Source organism: Homo sapiens, chromosome 11 (genome assembly GCF_000001405.40).
Source record: "Homo sapiens chromosome 11, GRCh38.p14 Primary Assembly".
NCBI classification, from domain to species: domain Eukaryota; kingdom Metazoa; phylum Chordata; class Mammalia; order Primates; family Hominidae; genus Homo; species Homo sapiens.
Window position 1 is genome coordinate 2,625,509 of NC_000011.10, and position 21,056 is coordinate 2,646,564.

Here is a 21,056-nt window from a genome sequence, read left to right on the forward strand (position 1 = left end):
ACAACTTTTCACGTACTATTATCCATTTGTATATCTTCTTTGGAGATACGTCTGTCCAAGTCCTTTGCCCTTTTTTTTTTTTTTTTGAGATGGAGTCTCACTCTGTTGCCCAAGCTGAGTGCAGTGGTGCCATCTCGGCTTACTGCAACCTCTGCCTCCTGGGTTCACATCATTCTCCTGCCTCCCGAGTAGCTGGGACTACAGGCGCCCACCACCACGCCTGGCTAATTTTTTGTATTTTTAGTAGAGACGGGGTTTCACCCTGTTAGCCAGGATGGTCTCAATCTCCTGACTTCATGATCCTCCCGCCTCAGCCTCCCAAAGTACTGGGATTACAGGCGTGAGCCACCGTGCCTGGCCCTTTTGCCCATTTTTCAGGTGCATTGTTTTTTGGTGATGACTTTTAGAAGTTCTCTGTATAATCTGGACATTAATCCCTTATCAGGTATGTGATTTGCAAATTTTTCTCCCATTCTGTAGGTTGTCTTATTGCTTAGTTGATATTATTTTAATGCACACAATGTAAATTTTTAAAATTTATCTAGTTTTACTTTTATTGCCTGTGCAAGTACAATTTATCTATTTTTACTTTTATTGCCTGTGCCTTTGGTGTCGCATACAAGAAGCACTGCCAATGATGTAAAGTTTTTCCCCTATGTTTCCTTATAAGACTTCATAGTTTTAGGACTTTGACCCATTTTGAGTAAGTTTTTGTACACAGTGTTAGGTAAGGGTCTCAACTTCATTCTCTTTTATACATGGTTAGGTAAGGATCTCAACTTCATTCTCTTGAGTTAATTTTTGTGTATGGTATTAGGTAAGGGTCTCAACTTCAGTTATCCTGGCACCATTTGTTGAAAATACAGCACTTTCCCTATTGAATGGTCTTGGCACTCTTCTCAGGAATCATTTGATCATGTATACAAGGGTTTATTTTTGGGCTCTCTATTCAATTCCATTGGTCTCTACATCTTTATGTCAATACCACATAGTTTTGATTACTGTAGCTTCGTAATAAGTTGGGGTTTTTGTTTGTTTTTCAGACATTCTTACTCTGTTGCCCACGCTGGAGTACAGTGGCATTATCACTGCTTACTGCCACCTCAATCTCCCAGGCTCAAGCAATCCTCCCACCTCGGCTTCTTGAGTAGCTGGGAATAGAAGTGTGTACCATTACACCTGGCCAATTATTTTATTTTTTGTAGAGATGAGGTCTCCCTGTGTTCCCCAGGCTGGTCTCAAACTCCTGGACTCAGAAGTCCTCCCACCTCAGCCTTCAAAAGTGCTGAGATTACAGGTGTAGGCCATTGTACCTGGCCTGTAGTAAGTTTTCAAATCAGAAAGTGTGAGTCCTCCAATGTTGTTCATCATTTTCAAGAATGTTTTAGCTATTCAAGGTCCCTTGAGATTCCATGTGAATTTTAGGATGGGGTTTCTTCTTTCTGCAAATAACATCATTAGGATTTTTATTGGGATTACCTTGGATTTGTAGATTGTTTTGTGTGGTACTGACACCTTAACAATATTGGCCTTCCAATCCATGAACATAGGAGGTGTTTTCCCTTTATGTCTACTTTAATTTCTTTCAGCATTGTTTTGTAATTTTCATTGTACAAGACTTTCACCTCCTTGGTAAAGTTGGTTCCTAAGTTTGTTATTCTTGATGCTTTTTTCAGCTTTTATTGAGGTATAATTGACAAATTAAAAGTGCATATATTTAAGAACATATTTGACCTACTGTGAAATGATTACTACAATCAAGCCAATTAACATATACCTTACATAGTTGCCATGTGTGTGCGTGTGTGTGGTCAGAATACCTAAGCTATACTCTCTTAGCAAATTCCAAGTATAGAATATATTAACTATAGTCACCAATCTGGACGTTATGTCAAGAACTTATTCATCTGATAACTCTATGTTTGTACCCTTCAACATTTCCTATTTCCCCTACTCCCTGACCCCTAGTAACCACCCTTCTACTCTCCGTTTCTCTGAGTTCAAGCTTTTTAGAATTCCATATGTAACTGGGATAGTGCAGTATTTGTCTTTCTGTGTCTGGCTATTTCACTTAGCATAATATCCTCCAGGTTCATCTATGTTGTCATAAATTGCATGATTTCCTGCTTTTTAAAGGATGAATATTTCATTGTGTGTGTGTATATATGTGTGTGTGTGTGTCTGTATGTATATGTATGTGATGTGTTTATTTGGGAATTTGGTGATACACACACACACACTATTTTCTTCCTTTCTTTTTGAGACAGGGTCTCCATCTGTCATCCAGGCAGGAGTACAGTGGCACAATCACAGTTCACTGTAGCCTCAACCTCATGGGCTCAAGTGATCCTCCTGCCTCAGCCTCCTGAGTAGCTGGGACCACAGTCATGCACCCCCATGCCCAGCTAATTTTTAAAATTTTATGTAGAGATAGGGTATCACTATGTTTCCTAGGCTGGTCTCAAACTCCTGTGTTCAAGCTATCCTTCACCTTGGCCACCCCCAAGTACTGGGATTACAGGTACAAGCCACCATGCCTATGAATACTATGTTGCTCATTTCTTGACTACTGTAACACTACAATGAACATGGGAGTGCAGATACCTCTTCAAGATACTGACTTTGTTTTCCTTAGATATACCCGGAACTGAGACTGCTGGATCATATAGCAGTTCCAATTTTAATTTTTTAAAGAAAATCTATCGTGTTTTCCATAATGACTGTATCAATTTACATTCCTAACAAAAATGTATAAGGGACACCTTTTCTCCACATCCTCACCAACACTTGCTATCTTTTGACTTTTTGATAATAGCGATTCTAACAGTTATGAGGTGATATCTCAGTGTGGTTTTCATTTGCATTTCCCTGATGATAAGTGATGTTAAGCACCTTTTTATATACCTGTTGACCATCTGTATGTCTTCTTTGAATAAATGTCTATTCAGTCCCTTGTCCATCTTAACAGGTTATTAATTGGGTTATTAAGTTTTTTTGCTAGTTATATGAGTTCCTTATATATATTGGATATTAATAGCTTATCAGATATATGGTTGGAAATATTTTCTCCCGCTACATGTGCTGCCTTTTCATTTTGTTGTTTCCTTTGTTGTGCAGACACTTTTTTGTTTGATGTAGTTCTAATTTATTTTTGCGTTTTATTCCTTGTGCTTTTGATGTCACATCTAAAAAATTGTCACAAAAACCAATGGCAAGGAGCTTTTCCCTGTTTTATAGGTTTTATGGTTTCAGGTCATATGTTTAAATCTTATTCACTTTTCTCTACAGTGTAGGGTAAGGTTCCAATTTAATTTTTTTGCATGTGGATATCCTGGTTTCACAGTGCCATTTATTCAAGAGAGTACCCTTTCCCCATTGTGTACTCTTGGTGTCTTTGTCAAAGATTAGTTGACCATAAATGTGTGGGTTTATTTCTATGCTTTCTATTCTGTTCCATTGGTTTATTTCTATACCAGTACCATAACTTTGAAATATAATTCAAAATAAGCATGTGTAATATCTTTCACTTTGTTCTTATTGCTCAAGTATGCTTTAGATCTTTAAGGTCTTTTGTAGTTTCTTTCAAATTTTAGGATTTTTTTTGTCTATATCTGTGAAAAAAAGTCACTGGAAATTTGATAGGCATTGCCTTGAATCTGTAGATCACTTTGAGTAGTATAGCTATTTCGGCAATATTTATTCTATTGATCTATGAACACCAGATATCTTTCCATTTATTTGTATCATCTTAGAATTTGTTCAATGTTTCATAGTTTTCAGTGTCTAGGTCTTTTATCTCCTTGGTTAAATGTATGCCTAAATGTTATGCAGTCCAATTTCTCTATTTTTTATTTTATCTGTGCCTTTCATATTATATCCAAATGAAGTCAATACCAAATCCAATGTCATGCAGTTTTTGCCCCATGTTTTCTTCTAAGAGTTTTATAGTTTTAGGTCTTACATTTAGGTCTGTGGTCCACTTTGAGTTAATTTTTGTATATGGAGTTAGGTAAAGGTCTCGACTTCATTCTCTCACGTGAGGATATCCAGTTTTCCTGGCACCATTTGTTGAAAAGAGAATCCATTTGCCATTGAATGGACATGGCATGCTTGTCAGAAATCATGCGTTCATATATGAAAGGATTTATTTGGGAGCTCTCTATTCTTTTTGATGCTATTTTAAATGAAATTGTTTTCTTAATTTGTTTTTCAGGTTGTTTATTATTAGTGTATAGATACGCAAATGACTTCTGAATGCTGATTTTGTATCCTGCCACTTTACTGAGTTAGATTATTACTTCTAACAGGTTTTTTTTGTGGAGTCTGTAGCATTTTCTACATATATGATGTCATCTGCAAACAGAGACAATTTTACTTCCTTCTTTCTGATTTGAGTGTATTTATTTATTTTTCTTGCCCAATTCCTCTGGCTAGGACTTCCAGTACTGTGTTGAATAGAAGTGGTGAGAATATCTTTTTCTTGTTCCTCATCTTAGAGGAGAGGCATTCAGCTTTTCAGCATTGAGTATGATGTTAGCTGTGGGCTATTCATATATGGCCTTTATTGTGTTGCAGTACATTCCTTCTATACCTAATTTGTTCATAGTTTTTATCATGGAAGGATGTTGAATTATGTGAACTGCATTATTTGCACTTATCAAAATGATTGTATGATTTTTATCTTTGATTTTATTAAAGTATCCCATTTCTTGTATATGTACACTTAACTGTCCTTATGTACTAAGGATAAATCCCATGTTTGTGATATATGATTTTTTTAATGTGCTGTTAAATTCAGTTTGATCATATTTTGTTGAAAATTTTTAAATGTATAGTCATAAAAAAATATCAGCCAGTTATTTTCTTTTCTTATATTGTCCTTGTCTGGCCTTAGTATGAGGGCAATGCTAGCCTTGTAAAATAAGTTGGGATTGTTCCCTCTTTGTTTGGGGGGAATATTTTGATCTTATACTTCCCCCGCTACATTTTATTTTTGATGCCCCAAGGTACACCTTTTAATATTGCATATCCATTGAGAAATTATGAAAACAATAGTAATTTTTAATTATTTTTCTTTTAACCTTTATACTAGAGTTATGTGATTTATATACTACCATTACACTATTAGAGTATTCTTAAGTTGCCCGTATATTTATTTATCAGTGAATTTTGTACTTTCATATGTTTTCATGTTACTAATTATCATCCTTCCATTTAAGCCTGAATAACTCCCTCTGGCATATCTTGTAAGGCAAGAGTAGTTGCTGATAAACTCCTTCAACTTTTGTTTACCTGAGGAAGTCTTGTATCTGTTTCATATCTGAAGGACAGCTTTGCTGTGTAAAGTATTCTTAGATGGCAGTTTTTTATCTTTCAGAACTTTGAATATATAATCCTATTGTTTCCTGGCCTGGAAAGTTTTTGCTCAGAAATCCACTGATAGCCTTATGGAGGTTCCTGCAGATGTAAGAACTTTATTTATCTTGCCGCTTTCAAAATTATCTTGTCTTCCATTTTTTACATTTTGATGGCAATATATCTAGGTGAAACCTCTTTTAGATGGAAACTAATTGTAATTCTTTGAGCTTCATGTACCTAGATGTCCATCAATCTGGGAAGAGCCCCAGATATGGGAAGTTTTCAGCCATTATTTCTCTGAATTAACTTTCTACCCTTTACCTCTCTACTTTCCTTCTATAAATCCTGTGTGAACATTAACTCTCCTGATGGTGTCCCATAAATCCTGTAAACTTCCCTTGTTACCTTTTCATTCTTTATTTTTCTCCTCTACTGGTTATTTTCAAATAATTTATCCTCCAGTTGATGAATTCCTCCTTCTATTTGATCAAGTCTGCTGCTGATGCTTTCTATTTCACTTTTCATTTCATGCACTATATTCTTCACCTCCAAAATGTTTGTTTTTTTTTTAGGATTTCTATTTCTTTATTGAATGTCTCCTTTTGTGTATTAATGATTTCATTAGGTTGTCTCTCTGTTCTCTGGTAGCACACTGAACTTCCTTAAATCAGTCGTTTTTAATTTTCTGTAAGGCAATTAATGTATCCCAATTTCTTGGGAGTCAGTCCCTGAAAATTATTGTATTTCTCAGGTGGGTGCTATGTTTCCTTGGTTTTTCTGTTTCTTGTTACAATGAATTGAAATCTGCTCACTTGATGGAGTGTTAAGTAGGTAGGGTGCAGCAGCTGTAGCCCAGATGAGGATATAATGGAATACTCTTCTTGCAGCTCCATCAGCTGAGGTCAGCAGTGGCAAACATTACAAAGGTCCTTGGTGGCCAAGGCTGAGTGTCCTGATGCTGTCGTGTAAATAGAGTTGTGTTAATAATATCCCTTTCAGATTGTTTGTGATTAATGTATAGAAATGCAACTGAAAGCTGGGCGCAGTGGCTCACGCCTGTAATCCCAGCACTTTGGGAGGCTGAGGAGGGCAGATCACAAGGTCAGGAGATCGAGACCATCCTGGCTAACATGGTGAAACCCCATCTCTACTAAAAATACAAAAACATTAGCCAGGCATAGCAGCGTGTGCCTGTAGTCCCAGCTACTTGGGAGGCTGAAGCAGGAGAATGGCGTGAACTCGGGAGGCAGAGCTTGCAGTGAGCCGAGATCGCGCCACTACACTCTAGCCTGGGCGACAGACCAAGACTCTGCCTCAAAAAAAAAAAAAAAAAAAAAGAAATGCAACTGAATTTTGTGTACTGACTTACTATCCTGCTACTTTGCTGAATTAATTTATTCAGTTTTTGTGGTGAGTTTTCAGGGATTTCTACAAATATGATCATATCTATGAACAAACATAATTTTAATTCTTCCTTTCTAAATGATGCCTTTATTTCTTTTCCATATTCTTTGGCTAGAAAGCCACTACTATGTTTAATATAATGGCTAAAATGCGCATCTTGCTTTATTCCTGATCTTAGAGGAAAAGCTCTTAGTCTTTTCACCATTATGATGCTCCTTGTGGGTTTTTCTTCTAGGAGTCTTTTTCTTTGTCCTTTTATTTTTAGTCAACATGTAATAATTGTAGATATTTATGGGATATACACAGTGATATTGTGATACATGTATATAATGTGTCATAATCAAATCAGGGTAATTAGCATATTCATCAACTCAAATATCATTTCTCTGTTTTGTGAGCAGTCAAAATCCTCCATCTTTCTGTGCCTAATTTCATTTAACATATTATCCAAGTTCATCCATGTTGCTGTGAATGACAGGACTTAATGCTTTATTATGACTGAATAATATTCCATTGTGTATACATACCACATTCTTTCTCTGCATCTGCTGATGGAGATTTAAGTTGATTCCATATCTTAACTGTTGTGAACAGTACTGCAATAAACATGAGAATGCAAATATCTTTTTTATATACTGATTTCCTTTCCTTTGAGTCAATACCCGGTAGTGGATTGTCAAACTGTATGATAGTCTACTTTTAGTTTTTTTGACAAAACACCACAGTATTTTCCATAATGACTCACTAATTTATAGTCCCACAAATAGTGTATTATTTCCCTTTTCTCTGCATCCTTGCCAGCATTTGTTATGTTTTGTCTTTTTGAAAACAGCCATTCTAACTGAGGTGAAATAATGTCTCACTGTGGCTTTGACTTGCATTTCTGTGATGAGAGATGTTGAGCATTTTTTCACATACCTGTTGGCCAGTTGTTCTATTTTGCACATTTCTAAATCAGATAATCTGGTGTTTTTTGCTGTTGAATTGTTTGAATTCCTTGTATATTCCGGATATTAATCCCTTGTCAGATGAATATTTTCTCCCATTCTACAGGATATCTCTTAATAGTTTATTATTTCCTTTTATGTGTAGGTTTTTAGTTTGATACAGTCCCATTTGTCTATTTTTGTTTTTGTTGCCTGTGCTTATAAAGTCTTACCCATAAAATCTTCGCTAGACCCATATCCTGAAGGGTTTCCCTTCTGTTTTCTTCTAGTACTGTTTGCTTCAGGTCTCATGTTTAAGTCTCTAATCAATTTTGAGTTGATTTTTTTATATGCTGAGAGATAGTATAGTTTCATTCTTCTGCATATGATATCCTGTTTTCCCAACATGATGTGTTCAACATGGTGTCCTTTCCCCAGAGTGTGTTCTTGGCACCTTTGTCAAAAACCAGTTGTCTGTAAATAAATTTATTTACTTCTGGGTTCTCTATTCTGTTCCATTGGTCTATATGTCTGTTTTATGCCCATTGCATGCTAATTTGGTTACCATTGTTTTGTATACAAGGGGGATTGCTTCCGAGACCCCCTGTATATACCAAAAGCCATGTATATTCAAGTCCCAGAGTCAGCCCTGTGTAATGCGCATATACAAAATGTCAGTCATCTGTATACATAGTTTTCACTTTTGTGAATATTGCATTCTATCCTTGTTAGATTATGGGGAAAATCCACGTATAAATGAACCTATACAGTTCAAATCTATGTTGTTGAAGAGTCGACTGTATTTTGATGTCAGGCAGTGTAGTGCCTCCAGCTTCATTCTGCCTGCTCAGTATTGTTTGTCCTATTTGTGGTCTTTTGTGGTTCCATGCAAGTTTAAGGATTGTGTTTTTGCTATTTCGGTGAAGATTGTCTTTGGTATTTTTTTTTTTTTAGATTTCTCTTTTCTCTCTCTCTCCCTTTTTTTTATTATACTTTAAGTTCTAGGGTACATGTGCACAACGTGCAGGTTTGTTACATATGTATACATGTGCCATGTTGGTGTGCTGCACTGATTACCTTGTCATTTACCTTAGGTATATCTCCTAATGCTTTCCCTCCCCCCTCCCCCCTCCCCCCCCACCCCACAACAGGCCCTGGTGGGTGATGTTCCCCTTCCTACGTCCAAGTGTTCTCATTGTTCAGTTCCCACCTACGAGTGAGAACATGCGGTGTTTGGTTTTTCATTCTTGCTATAGTTTGCTGAGAATGATGGTTTCCAGCTTCATCCATGTCCCTACAAAGGACGTGAACTCATCCTTTTTTTATGGCTGCATAGTATTCCATGGTGTGTATGTGCCACATTTTCTTAATCCAGTCTATCATTGATGGACATTTGGGTTGGTTCCAAGTCTTTGCTATCGTGAATAGTGCTGCAATAAACATACGTGTGCATGTGTCTTTATAGCAGCATGACTTATAGTCCTTTGGGTATATACCCAGTAAGGGGATGGCTGGATCAAATGGTATTTCTAGTTCTAGATCCTTGAGGAATCACCACACTGTCTTCTACAATGGTTGAACTAGTTTACAGTCCCACCAACAGTGTAAAAGCGTTCCTATTTCTCCACATCTTCTCCAGCACCTGTTGTTTCCTGAATTTTTAATGATTGCCATTCTAACTGGTGTGAGATGGTATCTCATTGTGGTTTTTTGATTTGCCTTTCTCTGATGGCCAGTGATGATGAGCATTTTTTCATGTGTCTTTTGGCTGCATAAATGTCTTCTTTTGAGAAGTGTCTGTTCATAACCTTTGCCCACTTTTTGATAGGGTTGTTTGTTTTTTCTTGTAAATTTGTTTGAGTTCTTTGTAGATTCTGGATATTAGCCTTTTATCAGATGAGTAGATTGCAAAAAATTTCTCCCATTCTGTAGGTTGCCTATTCACTCTGACGGTAGTTTCTTTTGCTGTGCAGAAGCTCTTTAGTTTAATTAGATCCCATTTGTCAATTTTGGCTTTTGTTGCCATTGCTTTTGGTGTTTTAGACATGAAGTCCTTGCCCATGCCTATGTCCTGAATGGTATTGCCTAGGTTTTCTTCTAGGGTTTTTACGGTTTTAGGTCTAACATGTAAGTCTTTAATCCATCTTGAATTAATTTTTGTATAAGGTGTAAGGAAGGGATCCAGTTTCAGCTTTCTACATATGGCTAGCCAGTTTTCCCAGCACCATTTATTAAATAGGGAATCCTTTCCCCATTTCTTGTTTCTGTCAGCTTTGTCAAAGATCAGATGATTGTAGATGTGTGGTATTATTTCTGAGGGCTCTGTTCTGTTCCATTGGTCTATATCTCTGTTTTGGTACCAGTACCATGCTGTTTTGGTGACTGTAGCCTTGTAGTATAGTTTGAAGTCAGGTAGCGTGATGCCTCCAGCTTTGTTCTTTTGGCTTAGGATTGTCTTGGCAATGCGGGCTCTTTTTTGGTTCCATATGAACTTTAAAGTAGTTTTTTTCCAATTCTGTGAAGAAAGTCATTGGTAGCTTGATGGGGATGGCATTGAATTTATAAATTACCTTGGGCAGTATGGCCATTTTCATGATACTGATTCTCCCTATCCATGAGCATGGAATGTTCTTCCATTTGTTTGTATCCTCTTTTATTTTGTTCAGCAGTGGTTTGTACTTCTCCTTGAAGAGGTCCTTCACATCCCTTGTAAGTTGGATTCCTAGGTATTTTATTCTCTTTGAAGCAATTGTGAATGGGAGTTCACTCATGATTTGGCTCTCTGTTTGTCTGTTATTGGTGTATAAGAATGCTTGTGATGTTTTGCACATTGATTTTGTATCCTGAGACTTTGTTGAAGTTGCTTATCAGCTTAAGGAGATTTTGGGCTGAGATGATGGGGTTTTCTAAATATACAATCATGTCATCTGCAAACAGGGACAATTTGACTTCCTCTTTTCCTAATTGAATATCCTTTCTTTCTTTCTCCCGCCTGATTGCCTTGGCCAGAACTTCCAACACTATGTTGAATAGGAGTGGTGAGAGAGGGCATCCCTGTCTTGTGCCAGTTTTCAAAGGGAATGCTTCCAGTTTTTGCTCATTCAGTATGATATTGGCTGTGGGTTTGTCATAAATAGCTCTTATTATTTTGAGATACATCCCATCAATACCTAATTTATTGAGAGTTTTTAGCATGAAGGGCTGTTGAATTTTGTCAAAGGCCTTTTCTGCATCTATTGAGATAATCATGTGGTTTTTGTCTTTGGTTCTGTTTATATGCTGGATAATGTTTATTGATTTGCATATGTTGAACCAGCCTTGCATCCCAGGGATGAAGCCCACTTGATCATGGTGGATAAGCTTTTTGATGTGCTGCTGGATTCGGTTTGCCAGTATTTTATTGAGGATTTTTGCATCAATGTTCATCAGGGATATTGGTCTAAAATTCTCTTTTTTTGTTGTGTCTCTGCCAGGCTTTGGTATCAGGATGATGCTGGCCTCATAAAATGAGTTAGGGAGGATTCCCTCTTTTTCTATTGTTTGGAATAGTTTCAGAAGGCATAGTACCAGCTCCTCCTTGTACCTCTGGTAGAATTCGGCTGTGAATCCGTCTGGTCCTGGACTTTTTTTGGTTGGTAGACTATTAATTATTGCCTAAATTTCAGAGCCTGTTATTGGTCTTTTCAGGGATTCAACTTCTTCCTGGTTTAGTCTTGGAAGGGTGTATGTCTCCAGGAATTTATCCATTTCTTCTAGATTTTCTAGTTTATTTGCATAGAGGTGTTTATAGTATTCTCTGATGGTAGTTTGTATTTCTGTGGGATCGGTGGTGATATCCCCTTTATCATTTTTTATTGCATCTATTTGATTCTTCTCTCTTCTTTATTAGTCTTGCTAGAGGCCTATCAATTTTGTTGATCTTTTCAAAAAAACCACCTCCTGGATTCATTGATTTTTTGAAGGGTTTTTTGTGTCTCTATCTCCTTCAATTCTTCTCTGATCTTAGTTATTTCTTGCCTTCTGCTAGCTTTTGAATGTGTTTGCTCTTGCTTCTCTAGTTCTTTTAATTGTGATGTTAGGGCATCAATTTTAGATTTTTCCTGCTTTCTCTTGTGGGCATTTAGTGCTATAAATTTCCCTCTACACACTGCTTTAAATGTGTCCCAGAGATTCTGGTATGTTGTGTCTTTGTTCTCATTGGTTTCAAAGAACATCTTTATTTCTCTGCCTTCATTTCGTTATGTACCCAGTAGTCATTCAGGAGCAGGTGGTTCAGTTTCCATGTCGTTGAGCGGTTTTGAGTGAGTTTCTTAATCCTGAGTTCTAGTTTGATTGCACTGTGGTCTGAGAGACAGTTTGTTATAGTTTCTGTTCTTTTACATTTGCTGAGGAGTGCTTTACTTCCAATTATGTGGTCAATTTTGGAATAAGTGCGATGTGATGCTGAGAAGAATGTATATTCTGTTGATTTGGGTTGGAATGTTCTGTAGATGTCTATTAGGTCCACTTGGTGCAGAGCTGAGTTCAATTCCTGGATATCCTTGTTAACTTCCGGTCTTGTTGATTTGTCTAATGTTAACAGTGGGGTGTTAAAGTCTCCCATTATTATTGTGTGGGAGTCTGTCTCTTTGTAGATCTCTAAGGACTTGCTTTATGAATCTGGGTGCTCCTGTATTGGGTGCATATATATTTAAGATAGTTAGCTCTTCTTGTTGAATTGATCCCTTTACCATTATGTAATGACCTTGTCTCTTTTGATCTTTATTGGTTTAAAGTCTGTTTTATCAGAGACTAGGATTGCAACCCCTGCCTTTTTTTATTTTCCATTTGCTTGGTAGATCTTCCTCCATCCCTTTATTTTGAGCCTATGTGTGTCTCTGCACGTGAGATGGGTCTCCTGAATACAGCACACTGATGGGTCTTGACTCTTTATCCAATTTGCCAGTCTGTGTCTTTTAATTGGAGCCTTTAGCCTATTTACATTTAAGGTTAATATTGTTATGTGTGAATTTGATCCATTATGATGTTAGCTGGTTATTTTGCTCGTTAGTTGATGCAGTTTCTTCCTAGCATCTATGGTCTTTACAATTTGTCATGTTTTTGCAGTGGCTGGTACCAATTGTTCCTTTCCATGTTTAGTGCTTCCTTCAGGAGCTCTTGTAGGGCAGGCCTGGTGGTTATAACATCTCTCAGCATTTGCTTGTCTATAAAGGATTTTATTTCTCCTTCACTTATGAAGCTTAGTTTGGCTGGATATGAAATTCTGGGTTGAAAATTCTTTTCTTTAAGAATGTTGAATATTGGCCCCCACTCTCTTCTGGCTTGTAGAGTTTCTGCTGAGAGATCCGCCGTTAGTCTGATGGGTTTCCCTTTGTGGGTAACCCAACCTTTCTCTCTGGCTGCCCTTAACATTTTTTCCTTCATTTCAACTTTGGTGAATCTGACAATTATGTGTCTTGGAGTTGCTCTTCTTGAGGAGTATCTTTGTGGCATTCTCTGTATTTCCTGAATTTGAATGTTGGCCTGCCTTGCTAGGTTGGGGAAGTTCTCCTGGATAATATCCTGCCTTGCTAGGTTGGGGAAGTTCTCCTGGATAATATCCTGAAGAGTGTTTTCCAACTTGGTTCCATTCTCCCTGTCATTTTCATGTACACCAGTCAGATGTAGATTTGGTCTTTTCACATAGTCCCATATTTCTTGGAGGCTTTGTTCGTTTGTTTTTACTCTTTTTTCTCTGAACTTCTCTTCTCACTTCATTTCATTCATTTGATCTTCAATCACCGATATCCTTTCTTCCAGTTGATCAAATCGGCTACTGAAGCTTGTGCATTTGTCACGTAGTTCTTGTGCCATGGTTTTCTGCTCCATCATGTCATTTAAGGACTTCTCTACACTGGTTATTCTAGTTAGCCATTCGTCTAATCTTTTTTCAAGGTTTTTAGCTTCTTTGCTTTGGGTTCGAACTTCCTCCTTTAGCTCGGAGAAGTTTGATTGTCTGAAGCCTTCCTCTCTCAACTTGTCAAAGTCATTCTCCGTCCAGCTTTGTTCCATTGCTGGCGAGTGGCTGCGTTCCTTTGGATGGGGAGAGGTGCTCTGAGTTTTAGAATTTTCTGCTTTTCTGCTGTTTTTTCCCCATCTTTGTGGTTTTATCTACCTTTGGTCTTTGATGATGGTGACGTATAGATGGAGTTTTGGTGTGGATGTCCTTTCTGTTTGTTAGTTTTCCTTCTAACAGTCAGGACCCTCAGCTGCAGGTCTGTTGGAGTTTGCTGGAGGTCCACTCCAGACCCTGTTTGCCTGGGTATCAGCAGCAGAGGCTGCAGAACAGCGAATACTGCTGAACACCAAATGTTGCTGCCTGATTGTTCCTCTGGAAGCTTCGTCTCAGAGGAGTACCCAGCCGTGTGAGGTGTCAGTCTGCCCCTACTGGGGAGTGCCTCCCAGTTAGGCTACTCGGGGGTCAGGGACCCACTTGAGGAGGCAGTCTATCCATTCTTAGATCTCAAACTCCGTGCTGGGAGAACCACTACTCTTTTCAAAGCTGTGAGACAGGGACATTTAAGTCTGCAGAGGTTTCTGCTGCCTTTTGTTCGGCTATGCTCTGTCCCCAGAGGTGGAGTCTACAGAGGCAGGCAGGCCTCCTTGAGCTGTGGTGGACTCCACCCAGTTCGAGCTTCCTGGCCACTTTGTTTACCTACTCAAGCCTCAGCAATGGCAGGCTCCCCCAGCCTCGCTGCCGCCTTGCAGTTCGATCTCAGACTGCTGTGCTAGCAATGAGCGAGGCTCCATGGGCGTGGGACCCTCCGAGCCAGGCGCGGGATATAATCTCCTGGTGTGCCGTTTGCTAAGACCATTGGAAAAGCACAGTATTAGGGTGGGAGTGATCCAGTTTTCCAGGTGCCGTCTGTCACCCCTTCCGTTGGCTAGGAAAGGGAATTCCCTGACCCCTTGTGCTTCCCAGGTGAGGCGATGCCTCGCCCTACTTCGTCTCACACTCAGTGGGCTGCACCCACTGTCCTGTACCCACTGTCTTGACGAGCCCCAGTGAGATGAACCCACTACCTCAGTTGGAAATGCAGAAATCACCCATCTTCTGCGTCACTCACGCTGGGAGCTATAGACTGGAGCTCCTCCTATTCGGCCATCTTGGAACCACCCCACTTACTGCAATCTTTAACTCCCAGGCTCAAGTCATTCTCCATCCTTGACCCCTCAAGTAGCTGGGACTACAGGCATGCACCACCATGCCTGGATAACTTCTTAATTTTTTGTAGAGACAGGGTCGTGCATTGTTGCCCAGGCTGGTCTTGAATTCCTGGGCTCAAGCGATCCTTCTGCCTTGGCCCCCCAAAGCACTGGGATTTCCTTTTTTTTTTTTTTTTGACCGATACATAATACTTATGGGGTACATGTGCTATTGTTACATGCATCGAATGTGTAATGATCAAGTCAGGGTATCCATCACCCTCAATTTATCATCTCTATAGTTAGGAACATTTCAAGTCCTCTTTTTTATTTTGAAATATACATTATATTGTTAAATATAGTCAACCAACTCTTATCAAACATTATAAATTATTTATTCTAACTAGCTGTGTATTTTTACCCACTAACCAACCTCTCTTCACCCTCCAGACATACCTTTCACAGCCTTTGGTATCTATCCTTCTACTCTCTACCTCCATGAGATCAACTTTTATAGCTCCCACATATGATAATAACATAAGATAATTATCTTTCTGTGCCTGGCTTAAAATAATGACCTCCAGCTCCATTCATGTTGCTGCAAAGGACATGATTTCATTCTTCTTTGGTCAATTAGTATTCCATTGTATATATTTACCTCATTTTCTTTTTCCATTTATCCACTGATGTACACTTAGGTTCCTGAGTCCATATCTTTGCTGTTGTGAATAGTGCTGCAATAAACACGGGGATGCAGGTACATTTTTAGTATACTGATATCTTTTCCTTTAGATAAATATCCAGTAGTGAGATTGCTGGATTATGTCATATTTCTCTTTTTAGGTTTTTCAGAAATCAAACTGTTTTCTATAGTATTAATTTACATTCCCACCAACAGTGTATAAGAGTTCCCTCCACATCCTCTCCAGCATTGGTTAATTTTTGTCTTTTTAAAATAGCCATTCTCACTATGGTTTTGGCTTGCATTTCCCTTATAATTACTGATGTTGGGCTTTTTTTTTTAAATATACCTGTTGGCTACTTGTATGTTTTCTTTTGAGAAATATCTATCCATGTCTTTTGCTCACTTTTTATTGGAATTAATTTGTTGTTTACTATTGAGTTATTGGAGTTCCTAGTATATTCTGGTATTAGTACCTTGTCAGATGAGTAGTTTGCAAATATTTTCTCCCATTCAACAGGCTGTCTCTTCACTCTGGTGATTGTTTCCCTTGTTGTGTACAAGCTTTATCATTTAATATAGTCCCATTTGTCTATTTTTGTTTTTGTCTGTGTTTTTGAGGTCTTATCCATAAAATCTTTCCCTAGACCAATGTCCTAAAGTGTTTCCCCAATGTCTCCTTCATTAATAGTGATGTTATAGTTTCATGCCTCATGTTTAAGTCTTTAACCCATCTTGAGTTGATTTTAGTATAGCAAGAGATAGAAACGGTTTCATTTTTCACATGGATATCTTATTTTCCCAGCTCCATTAAGTGAAGAGGGTGCTCTTTTCCCAGTGTATGTTCTTGGCATCTTTGTCAAAAATCAGTTGGCTGTAAATACATGGATTTACTTCCAGGTTCTACTCTGTTCCATTGGTCTATCAGTTTTTATTCCAATACCATGCTGCTTTTAATGCTATAGCCTTATATTTTTAAATCAGGCAGTGTGATGCATCCAACTTTGTTATTTTTGCTCAGAATTGCTGTGGCTATTCCAGCTCTTTTTTGGTTCCATCTGAATTTTAGGATTTTTTCTATTTCCATGAAAAATGGCATTGGTATTTTGAGAGAGACTGCATTGAATCTGTAGATTGCTTTGGGTAGTATGGTCATTTTAATTTTGTTAATTCTCCCAATCCATGAGAATGGGATGTTTTTTGTGTGTTCTTTTCAATTTCTTTCATCAGACTTTTGTAGTTTTCCTTGTTAGAGGTTTCTCACCTCTTTGGTTAAACTCATTCCTAGATTTTTTGTAGTGGTTGTAAAAGATAATGCCTTCTTGATTTCTTTCTCAGCTGGTTCTTTATTGGTATATAGAAATAAGCCTGATTTTTAAATCCTGTAACTGTAATCAATTTATTGATCAGACTGAAGAGTTTTGATTTTTGTATTTCATGGTATGAGTTGTAATATCCCCTTTTTCATTTTTGATTTTATTCATGTAGGTCTTCTCTCTTTTCTTCTTGGATAGTTTAGCCACTGGTTATTTTGTTTCTTTTCAAAAACCGATTTTGCATTTCATTGATCCTTTATATTTATTTAGTTTCTTGTTTAGTTCTGCTCTGATCTTCGTTATTTCTTTCCTTCTACTAATTTTATGTTTAGTATGGTTTGTTCTTGCTTTTCTGGTTCCTTCAGGTGTATCATTAGATTATTTAAGATCTTTTCTACCTTTTTTAATGGAGGCATTTATTACAATAAACTTTCCTCTTAGCATTGCTTTTGCAGTATCCCTTAAGTTTCAGAATGTTGTGCTTCTATTTTCACTTGTTTCAGTAAATTTTTTATTTCTGCCTTAATTTCTTCTTTGACCCATTGGTCATTCAGGAACATGTTAATTTCCATTTATTTATACAGTTTTGAATGCTCCTCTTATTTATTTATAGTTTTATGCTATTGTGGTCTGAGAAGATATGTGATATGAATCCAATTTAAAATATATATATATTTAAAATCATACTTAGTGTCCTAACATATAATGTATCCTGGAGAGTGTTCCATGTACTGATGAGAAGAGTGTATATTCTGCAGCTGTTTTATGAACTGGTCTGTAAATGTCTGTTAGGTCCATTTGGTATAAAGTGCAGTTTAAATCCAATGTTTCTTTGTTAATTTTTTGTCTAGATGATCTGTCTAATACTGGAAATGGAGAATTGAAGTTCCCAAGATTATTGTGTTGAAGTCTACCTTTCCCTTCAGATTTGATGTTTGCCTTATATATCTGGGTGCTTTGGTGTTGGGTGCATATATGTTTAGAATTGTTATATCCTCTTGGTCAATTGATCCCTCTGTCACTATATAATGACTTCGTCTCTTTTTAGTGTTTTTAGCTTAACCTTTGTTTTATCTGATGAAAGTATAGCTACTCCTGTTTGGTTTTTGTTTCCTTTTGCATGTAATATCTTTTCCCATTCCTTTCTTTCAACTATGTGTCTTTACAGGTGAGATGCGTTTCTTGTAGATAGCATTTAGATGGGTCATGTTTTTAAGTCCATTCAGCCAGTCTGTCTTTTAAGTAGAAAGTTTAATCTATTTATATGCAAGGTTATTGTTGATATGTGAGGGCTTATTCCTGTCATTAATTGATTTCTGATTATTTTGTGTGCTTTCATGAAGTTGTCCTTTCACTTCTTCCTGTAAGACTCCCTTAAGCATTTTTTGTAGTGCCAGTGTAGTGGCAATTAATTCCCTGAGCTTTTACTTTTAAGGGAAATACTTTATTTCTCCTTCATTTCTGACGAATATAACTTTGCTAAGTACAGTATTCCTGGCTGGCAGGTTTTTGGTTTTGTTTTTTCTTTCAGCACTCTGCGTATATAATCCCATCCTCCTGGCCTGTAAAGTTTCTGCTGAAAAATCTGTTAGTCTGCAGGTTGTTCCCTTGTAAGTGTCTACAACCTCTTTTATCGCTGGTTTTATGATTCTCTCTTTGTCTTGGGATGGGCAATTTGCTATAATGTGCTGTGGAAAAGACCTTTCTGAATTGTATCTATTTAGGGTTCTGAGATTCCTATATTTGGATCTAAATCTCTTGGGAGATTGGGAAGTGTTCAGGTATTATTTCATTAAATAGGTTTTATAATCTTTTGGTTTGCTCTTCACCTTCTGGGACACTGAAGGTGTCACCTTATGGCATCCTATAGTCACATAGCCTTTGTTCATTCTTTTCTATTTTTTCTATATTTTTGTCTGAGTCATTTCAAAAGACTTATCTTCAAGGTGTGAAATTCTTTCTTCTGCTTGTTGTGGTCTGTTATTGAAGCTTTCAAATATGTTTTTTATTTCATTCAATCTATTATTCAATTCCAGAATATCTGTTTGGTTCTTTTTATATCTATCTCTTGGGCAAATTTCTCATTCATACCCCGAATTGTTTTTTCTGATTTCTTTGTATAGTCTATCAGATCTTCTTTAATATTATATTGAATTTTTCAAGGTTTCATCAATTTCTTTTTCACTGGAATCTGTTGGAGAATTATTGCATTCCTTAGGAGTTGTCATGTTTTGCCTTTTCATGTTTCTTGTGTGCTTACACTGGTATCTGCACATCTGGTGTAACAGTAGTTTCTTCCAATTTTTTGATCTGTCTTTCCTAAGAGAGTCTTGTTCCTGAAGATATATCTATGGTGTTCTTTGGGCAGGGCACTTTGGTTTTGATTCTGGGTGCCTGCAGTAGTGTGATCTCCATGGAATTTTTTTCAGCTGTAAACAGCACCAGTAGTGTCTGGGAGTTCCTCTGTAGTTTAGGATGCAGTTGTTGGTGGAGGCTGTGGTAAAGTCTGGCTGGGGATAGGGACACCAGCTGGGCCAGTCCTCAGGCCCCAGTGGCAGCAGTGGCTGGCCCCGAATGCTTATCCTTGGGCCCAATGGTAGTGTATGCTGGTACCAGTGTTAGCAAGTCCAGGGAAACCAATTTTGGGCCTCCAGGCAACTTGCTCAGGTGCCAATGATGACAGAGCTGGGCCACAGGGTGGGTAGGTCCTTGAGCTCTGAGCAGCAGATATGGCTTGGGCAATGGCAGTAGCAGTGGCAGAACAATCTTCTGCCTCCCAAGGTGTCCATGCTGGTATTGGGATGGCTGGGATAAGCTGGATGAGCTTGTCCCAAGGCCCACAGGTGGCAAATTCAAGTGAATGCCAGTTGTGGTGGTAATGGTCAGTTGGGTAGGGCAGTCCTCAAGCCCCCAGGAGTGCTCAGGTGCCAACAATACTGGATAGGGCAGGGTGATCCCTAGGCCCAGAGATGGTATGCGCTGGCACTGGGAGAAAAGAGGGTGGGACCAGGCCAGGTGGGCCTGTCCTGAGGCCCTCCAGTAATGCAAGAATGTACTGACTGTGGTAGGCAGGCACAGGAAGATCCCTGTATACCCTGCTGAATGCTCATGTTGGGGCAGCAGCAACTCTATTGCAGCCCTACTCCTGGGGAAGTTGAGTGGGATTGCTTTCAGTGGCAGCAGCTATAAACAGGCAGTTGGGCAATGCATGCTTCGGCCCCAGGTGGTGACTATGGGCAGGGTCACCTTTCCTCATGGCAGCCTTGCTTCGGAGGTAGCAGAGTATTGCCAATGGCTCATGCTTTGGCCTGGAGGGAGCAGTCAGGAGTGGCAACCAGCTTTGTGTAAGGGATGTCCATGGGGCTCCAGGGATGAGATAGAGGGATGTGGGGCCCACAGCAGATGCAGTCTGGTGGGGGTTGGGCTATCAAAATGGGACTTTCCTGAAGTTGCCTGAGGATTCAGGGGATGTGTGAATTGCCTGAGGATTCAGGGTGATCTCCCTCTCTGGGAGCTGTTCATTGCCATTTCACAGTCTGTAGGTAGCCTCTTGTTAGTCTCAAGGCATCTATGGGTCAGGGGGTTCTCTGACTAGGATTTCAGGAGTCTGCTGTGGGAATGTGGACCACTAGGGGCTCACTTACTTACCTTTCTGCACATCGAGGAGTCTCTTCATGATCCCAGCCAGTCCCATAGAAGCAGACTGCCTGACTCCCCTCTTATCCCTTGCATTGGGTTTTTCTTATTACTTCTCAGTTGAATTCCAGCATTCTCTCAGAGGCGATCTATATAAACTGTGGTTACCTACTTGCTATATTTTGTGGAGGAGGTGAGTGCCAGATGCCTCTAGTCAGCCATCTTGAAGCCCCTGCTGATATCTGGATAGGGATTTCATAGCATCTGTATATTGCTATAGGTAAATATGATCATTTTAACATTTTTCTTTCAATCCATGAGCATGGGATGTCTCAAAAAATTTTGTAGCCTCTTCAATTACTGTTATCAGTATTTTATAGTTTTCATTGTGGAAATCTTTCACCTCCTTGGTTAAGCTTTGCTTTTTTTTGTAGCTATTGCAAATGGGATTGCTTTCTTCATTTCTCTTTTGGCTAATTTGCTGTTTCACAGAAATGCTACTGATTTTTTGGGGGAGGCAGGGGAGTGCAGACAGGGTCTCACTCTGTT

The 21,056-nt window shown here is 38.5% G+C and overlaps 1 protein-coding gene and 1 long non-coding RNA gene across 6 annotated transcripts in view; one reads left to right on the forward strand and one right to left on the reverse strand.

Annotated features, from left to right (window-relative positions):
* Positions 1-21,056, forward strand: part of KCNQ1 (potassium voltage-gated channel subfamily Q member 1) — a 404,098-nt gene that overhangs the window by 180,501 nt on the left and 202,541 nt on the right. The gene's annotated exons all lie outside the window — the stretch shown is intronic.
* Positions 1-21,056, reverse strand: part of KCNQ1OT1 (KCNQ1 opposite strand/antisense transcript 1) — a 91,667-nt gene that overhangs the window by 17,181 nt on the left and 53,430 nt on the right. The window contains exon 1 of the long non-coding RNA NR_002728.4: positions 1-21,056. This exon is cut by the window's left edge and continues 17,181 nt beyond it; it is cut by the window's right edge and continues 53,430 nt beyond it. This is a non-coding gene — a long non-coding RNA (KCNQ1 opposite strand/antisense transcript 1).